General features: G+C 33.7%; 1 protein-coding gene across 7 annotated transcripts in view; it reads left to right on the forward strand.

Moving 5' to 3' along the window:
• Positions 1 to 11,478, forward strand: part of VPS50 (VPS50 subunit of EARP/GARPII complex) — a 128,758-nt gene that overhangs the window by 30,882 nt on the left and 86,398 nt on the right. For all 7 annotated transcript variants that reach the window (NM_001257998.2, NM_017667.4, XM_011516396.4 and 4 more), the window contains 2 exons: positions 7,973 to 8,015; positions 9,388 to 9,486. In NM_001257998.2, the coding sequence (NP_001244927.1) occupies positions 7,973 to 8,015; positions 9,388 to 9,486 (142 nt within the window). The remainder of the gene's footprint in view (positions 1 to 7,972; positions 8,016 to 9,387; positions 9,487 to 11,478) is intronic.

The following is an 11,478-nucleotide window of genomic DNA, read 5'->3' on the forward strand; positions in this document are numbered from 1 at the left end:
TAAGCATTTTACATTCTAGTAATCTTAGGAGCAGTAATTAACTTCCAACTGAATTTATATATTCTCAATTTTAAAAACATTTATATCTATTCTAATTCTTGTTGATAACTAGAGAATCATAAATGTTTTCCTTTTAGAAATGATTTTTGAGAGAATCACCCCATGATATAGAATATTTCTGAATTCTGATGTGATTTTTAAAAAATATTTTAAGCAAGTTTATATGCACAGTATACCTACTTGTCTACTTGTTAATTTTTTCTTGGCAGATTATGTGTTCCTCTTTTCTTTCCTAGTCACATCACTCCTTTATTGGAAATAAGGTTTTTGTTTTTGGTAGAGTGCAAACTCTCTAAGGAGAGTTACTTGGAATAGCTGAGATGGAAAAACTTAGGACTGACTCTTATGATTCTGAAAATAGGAAAAACAATTTACATATTTGCTTCTGCATAAAGAAATACTGACTCTATATCTTGTAAGTCTCAGATTATATGACTAGGTAGTTTAATACATGAAATGCCAAGTATAATCGGCTCTCTGTATCCATGTGTTCTGTGTCTCTGGATTCAACCAGCTGAAAATGGAAAATATTTGGAAAGAAAAAACAGCAACAAAAATAACAATACAACACAAAAATCACAATGCAATCATAAAAATAATAAAAATAAAAAATAATACAATATAACTGTTTACATACATTTGCATTGTATTAGACATTATAAGTAATCAAGATGATTTAAAGTATAAGGAGGATGCGGATAGGTTATATGCAAGTACTGTGCCATTTTATATAAAGAACTTGAGTATCCGTGGATTTTGATGTCTATGGAGGGTCTCAGAATAATCCCCCACATAGACTGAGGAATGATTATCATATAATGATGCACCCAGTTGGTTGAAAAATGAAACAGAAGTGGCACTTCCTCTGCACCTGTCTTCCTTAAGATGTGCCATGTTTCAGCATCTTTAATAAAAGATACAGTAATCCCAGTTTTGTTCACTTTTATAACTGAGAGAACATTTTTACATTGTTTGATATTTCCTGAGTTGATTGACAGAGAGTCATATAGTTGGGATTTATTGAGAATAAGAATCAGAATGTGTTTATGCTAAAGTGCATCTATGAATGAAGTACTTAATTTCTTTTTCACTTGAAATTTGTCTCAATTTGTTTCAAGGAAAGTTAATTTTAAAAGTCAAAACTGCTTTATTATTGTATTTCATTTGAAAGAAACTACTTGAGGGAGCCTGATAGCTTTTGTATTATGCACTGTAAGGTTTGCATACTGCTGAACTAGTTTCTTGAGTACTGTACTTTAACATAAACAGATGCATTAAATGTCTCATAATCTTTCAAGAATTCCTTCATTTTTTCTCAGAATATGATCTTGGTAGTTTAGTGAAAATTGTAGGTTGTAGAATGTCTTTACGTCATATGGCAAATGAACACAGCTGACAAATATAGCAATACTGGGAACTTTTCTTCCCCTATTGCATTAATTTCTTTATAGCAAGGTGTGCCTGCTTTCTTCCTCTAAGGTCAGGGACATAAGGAGCCCTGCCTTGAGTAATGTTTGAACATTGATTGTTTCTGCTAGGTTGCCAGGCCTTCTAGCTTGATCCATTGTCTAGATCCTGAGTGCTTGTTGGTTGGTCAGCTTGGACCAAGTTTTGATAACACCTGCACTCCTCATCTTCTATTTTAACTTGTTTTTCTCTGCCTCCCTCTGCCATGCTGTGCTGTTTTAAATAATGTAAAATAATAGTTTCACATGACAAAAATCCTAATAAACAAGAGGGTTTTAAATAAAAAGCAAACAGTTTTCTTTCTGCCCCATTCACCCGTCACTTTCCTAATCCCTGGAGTAAACCACTTTTACAGCTTACTAATTTTTTAAAAATAATTAAAAAATATATACATAATATATATATACAGACACATATACACACATATATCTCTTTCCTGTTTTAACTTTTATCAGTTCACCAACTAAAAGTTCTGCTGAACTCTAGCATGGGCTTGGCAAACTGTCTTTAAAAGGCCCGATAGTAAATATTTTAGGTTTTACATGCCATACGTCTCTGTTGCAACTATTCAACTCTGCCTTTGTAGTCTGAAAGTAGCTGTAGACAAAAAGTAAACAAACGGTTGTGGCTATGTTCTACTAAAACTTTATTTAGAAACACAGACTGCCAGCTGGATTTGGCCTGTGGGTTCCGATCTGTGATCTAGAATTACAGTTAATAAAGTTGGAGATGTTTTGAACATATTATTATTGGACTCTGAGCTTTGTGGTGATAGATTAGGTCAGGGATTTCTTTCTTTCTTTTTTTGGAGACAGAGTCTCACTGTGTCACCCAGGCTGGAGTGCAGTGGTACAATCTCGGTTCACTGCAACCTCTGCCTCCCTGATTCAAGTGATTCTCCTGCCTCAGCCTCCTGAGTAGCTGGGACTACAGGCACACGCCACTACACCCGGCTATTTTTTAAATATTTTTAGTAGAGATGGGGTTTCATCATGTTAGCCAGGCTGGTCTCAAACTCCTGACCTCAGATGATCCACCTGCCTCAGCCTCCCAAAGTGCTGGGATTACAAGCGTGAGCCACTGCGCCTGGGCAAGGTCAGGGATTTATTAACAGAGTTAAGTGAAGTTAAGTGAAGACAGACATCTAGTTAGATCCAAAGTGATCTTAGGAATTCTGTTATAGCCTGGTTATATATGGTTTGAAGGATCACATAGACACTTCATGGTACTTAAGAGTTGTTGGTTTAACTTTAGAATGTTGAAAAATCAGTTTCTCTGAGGTCTGCTGATAAATTCTCTGCTTCCTGTAAGTAGATTGAAAACCACTGGAATAGGCTCTGATTTAAACAGACTGGAACGTCAGTGTCTTAGGGCCATGGAGATACAGTATAAACTTGGAAGTACATTTACTTAAGCTCATTCTAAAAGTTTTATAACTTTACTGAACCATGTACAAATTGGGCAATTGAGTAACTCGTCTTCAGCATATAATAGAATCATGAAACATTAGAGCTGGAAGCAACCCTTTCTATCTGGCCCACCTTTATGTAGGAAACTGATGCCCAGAGATATTAAAGGACTTGACTTAAATCATATGGTTCATTAATAACAGACCAGGGAAAGATCATTAAGATATTATCGCTGTGCCATCTTGTCTTTTTGTATAGTCAGATTTGTTCAAAATCTTTATTTCTATGCAACCTTTCTAGGACTCATTCTTGTGAGTGTATGTGTGTCCTAGATTAGTTGTTTAAAGAACACTATTAATTGGTTCTTTATGGATAATTTATTCCTAATATTTCCTGTAGTGATGGTAAAAACCCTTTGCAGAATTGTTTGATTCGTTCCATTCAGCTTGCAGACCGCTTTTAAAGGCTTTTAGCCTTCCATCTTAGAACTGGTAATTTCTTGACCATAATGTTGCATTTATTTATCAAAGTGTTTATGAATAGATCCTTTTAACATACTTTAATTAATTGATCAAAATGGATTGAATTCATGTTTCTAAATGATGGCTAAGAGCTTCTTTAAAAGCTGTACAGTTAATGTCCACTATTTAATCACATAACTTTTATATATGTATTTTTAATTAGTAGTAAATTGTTGTCAAATTGCAGTTGTACATTTTGAAAGCATTTTTAATGAAAGCCAATTTTTGATTTATAGATTTTTATGTTTGTAGTCTTCCATATGCTGTTTACCTTACCACATTTGCATTAAATCTTAATAAATGGGATATAGAATTACTTACCTTTAATAACAGCCATAAAAACATCTAGGTTTATTATAATTTCATAAACCAACACTAAAGCCCATTTGTTTTGATAGAGAAGCTGAAGAAATCGTTGCTTTCACTTGTGAATGAATTCAGATATATTTCTTTTTCCTCCAGACTCAAAATATTCCCTAAAGGAAAATGTTTATCAGTTCTGAATTACTCATTATTCCACTTGTCCTTGCCTCTCTGCTTCTGTTACTCTAGGATCAGCCTTGGGTGAAATTTTGAACTCCATATGATAGAGGAACTGTCTTTAACTCTTACTCATCTCTCTTTTCTTGCTAAGGCTCCTGCAGACCAGAGTTCAGTGTGGTTCTTCTAAAACATTCTCTTCCCTTTCCTGCTGTCTCTGTAGTTTTATTTATTGAGGTAGAGAATAGGGGCTAATGGAATGATGGCAAAATTTTACCATTTTTCTTTCAATTACAAATTTGACTTAGAATATTTATTACCTGCTCTGAGTTAGGTAGTAAATTTAGTTCTGGGGAGTCACTGGTGAGTAAGCCACAGTGCCTTAAACACTTGTGCCTTGGAGACACAGCCACAGGTATTCCTTACTGTAGTACAGGAATTCGTAAACAGAGTATTATGAAGGTTGTGGGGGTAGTTACTTAGCAGGGAAGGACTTCCCAGAGAATATGGTATTCGAATTAAGCCTGGAAAGATAGATGGATGTTTGTGAGTGAGAAAGGAAGAAAGGATATTCAAGTTATTGTGAGCACTATGTACAAGAACTGAGGGTGTGAAAGTCTGGAGTTTGGTTCAGGTGCTGTGCACAGTACGTATGTCTAAAATATAGGCATTAAGAAGTCTATGTGAAGTTATTTTTTTCATGTCAGATTGTTAAAGGTCTTACATGCCATACTAATTTGGGGCTTTTCTCGTTAGTTTAATAGGGAGCCACCAAAAGATTTAAAGCAGGAGATTAATGTGGTTTTATTTTTGCTTTACTTAAGAGCTGCGCTCAGATGTCTTTAGGGACCAGGCAGGTCATATAAATGTGAGGCTGCCAGATGTAAGACCATAGGAAATGGTAGAGCCCACAGGACTAGATAGCACTTGCCTTGCATAAAGCCTTTTGACAACACTGTGTCTGCCAAATCATATAGAATATTGACCAAATCCAATGTGAAGTTAGACCCCTGCTCAGAGCTGTTTCTGACAGCTTTTTGAAGGATGTTGTACAATGTTTGGTTGATGGTGTTTGTCAAATAAATGGATAGATTGATTAAAATAGGTGTGTTACATATGCAGATTCATTAGGAAGCTATTTTTTTTTTCATTATTTTAAGTTCCGGGTACATGTGCAGGATGTGCATGTCTGTTACATAGGTAAATGTGTGCCATGGTGGTTTGCTGCACCTATCAACCTATCACCTAGGTATTAAATCTGGCATGCATTAGCTATTTTTCCTGATGCTCTTCTTCCCACCCATCCCCTGATAGGCCCCACTGTGTTGTTCCCCTCCCTGTGTCCATGTGTTCTCATTGTTCATCTCCCACTTATAAGTTAGAACATGTGGTGTTTGGTTTTCTATTCCTGTATTAGTTTGCTGGAGATAATGGCTTCCAGCTTCATCCATGTCCCTGCAAAGGACATGATCTCATTCCTTTTTATGACTGCATAGTATCCAATGGTGTATATGTACCACATTTTATTTATCCAGTCTGTCATTGATGGGCATTTGGGTTGACTCCATTTCTTTGCTATTCACATGTCTTTGCTATTCACATGTCTTTGTTATCGTGAATAGTGCTGCAGTGAGCATACACGTGCATGTATCTTTATAACAGAATGATTTATATTCCCTAAGCAAAAGGTGATAATGCTTGAATTAGGACATAGAATTGAGAAAAGATAATCACAGGTGGATATGGGAAATACTGAAATGAAATGGTAGAATCATCAGGATTTGATTACTAATTACATATAGAGAGGGAAGAATGCAAGATGACGCTGAGATTTTCAGCTTTATTTGAGTAGGTGGTGATGCTGTGAATTGAGACAGAGAACATGGGAGAAGGAACAGCTCTGAGGGAGAGAAGATACTGATTTGTTTTGTTTTGCTTTTCTTGTGGTTGGGTGAGGATTTATTTAATTATTTGAAAGTGTTAAGATACTGCCATAGCTATCCTTTTGGGGGAATTATTTTGGGGACAATAGTTTTCATTCTTCATTCACTTATTTATCCATTCATTATTTTTTTGGCAGGAGTTGTCCTAGAATTATTTTTTTAAGGAAATTTCAGTCCTACCTGCAAGTATTCCCTTAATCTATGTCTGATATTTCAGGCACAAATCCTGGTTAGAGATCTTAATTTTTCTAATAAGGTATCAGTCCTACACTGTTAATTGTCAAAGGATATAGTTTTGCTCACTTCCAGTTTTTACTAGAGAATATACTCTCCAGTCCTCAACTTCAGTTCAAAGTATGCTTATGATAAATACTATTTGCAGAAAATGATCTAATTCCTCTAGATGTTTGGACATTTATCATTGAGAGCATCAAAAACTGTGTGCTTGTATTACATTGGTTTTACTTTTCTGACAGATTGCTATCTATGTCTATCTATATCTCACTCTGGTATTATCTCTGTAGCTTGCCTTGAAAGGCTCTATAAGAAGCAAATGCAAGGAACCCATTATTGTATGTATTGTAAGGATATTGTCAGGGGGTTGTGCCTTTGGAGATCAAGACACTGGCAAAATTTTCTCTCAGAACTTAATGCAAACAAAAGTGATTTTTTATATTTTTGTTTTGATTTATTTTTCCCCTTTGAGCTACTGGTATGTTCTTCTGTTATAGACACTGGATTAAGTACTATGGCCCTCCCTATTTGCTTTGGCTGCTAGGAATTTGAGAGTCAAGTTTATTATCAGTAGATAGCAATTTTAAAAACCTTTGATTTTGGTGTGCTAAACGTCTTTCACTTGTTTGTACTATTTTAAGAACAATGAGGTTTTATTCTTTCTTGTTAAAATATGTTCTCTGTGATTGCATTTATTTTGTTAGACATCACATCCTTTTTAGTAGTGAGATAAAATTCAAATAATGTTAGTTCTATTGATTTTTTTTTTTTACTGACCTCGTAAGAATTAAAGGGGGAAAAATCTAGATTCAATCACGTGTCCTAAGTGTATGAGTATAACTCAGTAAGCTTTTATAAAGTAAACATAGTTATGTAATTACCACCTAGAAGTAGAAACAGAGTATTTCTGACACCCCACAAACTTCTCGCATGTCTCATCCCAGTCATTCTTCTAAGGTAAGCGCTGTTCTGGCTTCTGTCACCAAAATTAGTTTTGCTTGTTTAGAACTTTAAATAAATGGAAGCATACAGTATATACTATTTTTTACTGACTTCTTTTGCCAAACATATTTTTGTGGTTCACATAAATTTTAATTGCTATAGGATTTTATTTTATGAATGTATCACATTTTGCTTATCTAATTATTCTAGACAATTGTGTTGCCTCAGGTTTTTGCCTATTAAAAATAATGCTGCAAGGATTCTGTGTGCTTTTCTGTTCAGTATGTATCCAGGACTAGACCTGCTGGGAGGTAGAGTGTGTGTTGTTTCAGTAGATATTAGGGTTTTCCAAGAGGTTATATCAGTTTCCCCTTCCTCTAGCATCAGATGAGTGGTTCTGTTTGCTCAACGTCCTTGCCAACATTTGGTGGTGTCATTTTTAATTTTTTAAAAATATTTTTAGCCATTTTTTTCATTCGTTACAGTGTTTTTATAGTATTAATTTGCATTTCCTGAATGACCAATACACTTGGGACAGATAGAATAAAAATAAAGGGCAAAAGTCTTCAGATCACTGAGAAAGAGGATATTCAATTGGCTGTTAAACACACAAACATTGTTTATATAGACACACTGTTTATGTAAAAGTTACCAATTTTAATTCTTCAGTTTTTTTATTTTTATCTGTAGATTCTTTCTTTCTACTCACGCAATCCTGTTGCTGCTGCTAATGACTCTTATTCCCTTCTAATACTTTTTCTTATTGCATTGTCTATATGTAGAATTCAGCAGCATGTCTTACGATCTATACTCTTAATCTTTGAATTTATGGATTAATTATTCAGTTAGTATGTATTTATTTAGCACTTAGTTTGTCTCAGAAATAGAAAAAAACTGTTTTTTTTTTTTTTAATAGTGAACTGAATTCAAAGCTGCAAGATACTTTGGAACAGATTGAGGTAAGAAGTATTATATCCTAACCTTAATGAGTTTTTCTTTTCAGAAGTTTTTGAATAGCCTAGGTGCAACATTGTGTTTTGGCTTTTATGTTATTACCAATGTCTCTAGATCACTGTATTTCTTGATTTTCATTTGGAATATCTATTTATGGTCAAGTTAGTGTAAAAATTTACTTGTAAATTATGGGATCTCAAAACAGCATTTGAAAATATTGCCATTTCCAAGAAAAATTTCCAAACTATTAGTCATAGGTGTGTTCTCATATAAATTATATAATAGCCAAAATACTTTCTATGTATTAATTATATTTTAATTATCAGTTACTTTATTGTTTAGTATAGTGAGTTAATTTACCTGTAAGTAATTATTGGCTGATGAAAACCCTCCAAAATTCCTAAACCTCATAATGATACTCACATAGTTCATCAAAAACGTAGAAACTAAAAAGGAAGAGATATGTAATTATGAGCATGAAGCATGTTTTGCCTGTTACATATATTCAAAATTCATCTCTTTCCTTGACAATCTTTGCAAAGGAGGGTATTCATTTTAATAAATAAGAATTATTTGTATTTGGTTTCTTCTAGTCTTTTATTGTTTTCCTGATAAGAGTATTTATAAAAGTTGAGATTGGACTTTCAAATTACCTTTTGAGAAAGTAATTTTTGACCACAAATGCAATTATTTGCTATTAAATAATTGTGAGAATGACAGTTTATTTGATAGTCACAGAAACAACTGCTTTGAGTGGCTTAAGTTAACAATTCCCTGAATATTTTAATGAAGGCTTTCTTTTGAGAGCCCAGGATTTCTTCACTTTTAATAGATATTATTCTGTATTTATATTAAAAACTCTTATTTCAAAGTAAAATCATTGAAAAAGAAATCCATAAAGCATGGTAATTTAGATAAAAGAGCTTAAACCTTGAGGAATATACTTTTAAATTCAATGTAGTTTTGTTGAGAATTCCTTTTCGTTGATTAGAGAAAGATTGTTTTATTGTTCTCCAGTAGTCCCACAAATTCAGTTTATATAAGATTTTAGCAGATGCTTGAGGAAACATTAAGTAGTAGTAAGAGTAAGATTCATTACAAAACTATTATTTTGTTTCCTGTAAAACACTAGGCATGGGTTTTAAGGCATAGAAATTCACATGTTAATATCTTGGTAAACTTGATTATAGTTGCTAATAAATTTACAATTGCAATTTATAACTTTATTTAAATTTGTTTTTGACTTCTAAATCTGGTATGATAGTAAATGTATTTAAATGTTAACTAAAAGTGAGAAATTAGTCTTAATGTTTTCTTCTCATTGCCTTGAAAACATAATTCCTTAACCATGTCTTGCTTCTTCTTTTAATTATATAGGAACAGCTGGACGTAGCTCTTTCCAAAATCTGCAAGAATTTTGACATTAACCATTATACCAAGGTTCAACAAGCTTATCGACTTCTTGGAAAAACACAGGTTTGTTACAAAAGGATGTTTGGATTTTTCCTTAATCAGGAATTTGTTGTCCTTCATGATTAAGTCTGAATATTATTAATCTCATGTCCTTAAAAAGTTTTATTTAACGAAGTACATTTTTATTCTGAATTAACAGTGATAAAATGGTTGTTCTTGTAGACTCAGAGGGTATATAATGTGGTTAAAACATTACAGTAGTTTGTTTTGAACTATGAAGTACTTGTCAGGTTTAATATTTTCACAATTTTATGTAGATTTTCCAATAAGTATATTATAAGATAATTCAGTGGGAGACAACATGTAGTCTCTTTTAACTCAGCTCTTGGTTCTGAAACAGGACTTCCTAATTTGCAGCTTCACGTGTTGTTAGATAGCCAGCATGACTCCCTCAAAATGATATGTCAGCATTGTACATTTTGTACCTTTATCTGTAAAACAAGTCCATTTTATTTATCACATATTTCAGAGGGTCCTTTTATCCCCAAAATGTCATAACTTCTCTCATAATATATGGCTTTTCATACTCTTACTGTTCAAGGGCTTCCTTGAAAAGCTTGAAACAGGTGCCATGGTTTTGAAAGTTAATTGTATCTTTTGTTTGTATAGGATTATATGTTTACCTATACAACATTTAATGTGATAGATGTAAATGTTTTCTTCCCTTAAACGGTCCCCTCTTTTAGAAGGAAGTTTAAGATTTTGCTAAACAATTTAAACTCTACATTTTGAAATCTGAATAAAGAAATTTTACTGTTTATTGTAATTTAATTTTCATGTCTTAAGCTATACCCAAGAAAAAAATCTAAGAAGAAAGAACTTAGCAATTTTGAGGGATATGTTTAAACACCTTTGAAAATAGGATTATAACTTCTAATTTCCCTCATAAGATTAAGTCTTAAATTCCATAAATATTTTTGGTACCTCCTACGCACATTGCTTCAGGTGTCTGGATATAGGCTTTTATGTATCTTACCTTTTAGTGAGGGATACTGGCATACATCTTTTTATTACACTTCACTTTATTGTGCTTTTCAGATACTGTGTTATTTACAAATTAAAGGTTTATGACAAACCTGCATCAAGCAAGTCTGTCAGTGCCGTTTTTCCAACAGTATGCATGCATGTACTTCATGTCTGTGTGTCAGATTTTCATGATTCTTGCAGTATTTCCAACTTTTTCATCATTATTATATCTGGGATGGTGATCTGTGTTTAGTGAGCTTCATGTTAGTATTGTAATTGTTTTGTGGTCCATGGGACTGTGCCCATATAAAATGGTGAACTTAATTCACAAATGTGTGTGTTCTGACCGCTGTACCAACTGGCCATTCCCCCTTCTCTCCCTCTTTTTGGACCTTTCTATTCTCTGAGGTACAGCAGTATTGAAAATAGGCCAATTAATAAACCTACAGTGGCTTTATGTCTCTCACTTTAAATCAAAAGCTAGAAATGATTAAGCTTAGTGAAGATGGCTATGCTAAAGACAGATTTTCAGTGTACACGGAACAGCCTTCTATTGGAAGAAGATGCCACCTAGGATTTTCAGAGGTACAGAGAATAAGTCAATGCCTGGCTTCAAAGCATCAAAAGACAGGTTGACTCTCTTATTAGGGGCTAAGGCATGTGAAGACTTTAAGTTGAAGCCAGTGCTCATTTATGATTCTGAAAATCCTAGGACACTTAAGAATTATGCTAAATCTACTCTGCCTGTGCTCTGTAAGTGGAGTAACAAAGCCTGGATGATAGCACATCGATTACAACATGGCCTACTGAATGTGTTAAGCCCACTGTTGAGACCACCTGCTCAGAAAAAAAAATGTCCCTTTCAAAATATTTCTGTCTATTGACAATGTACCTAGTCCCCCATGACTTTGATGGAGATATACAAGAAGATGAATGTTGTTTTCATGCCTGATAACAGTCATTCTGCATCACATGGATCAAGGAGTAATTTTGGCTTTCAAGTCATACTACTTAAGAAATACATTTTAT

This window comes from Homo sapiens, chromosome 7 (genome assembly GCF_000001405.40).
Source record: "Homo sapiens chromosome 7, GRCh38.p14 Primary Assembly".
Taxonomy (NCBI): domain Eukaryota; kingdom Metazoa; phylum Chordata; class Mammalia; order Primates; family Hominidae; genus Homo; species Homo sapiens.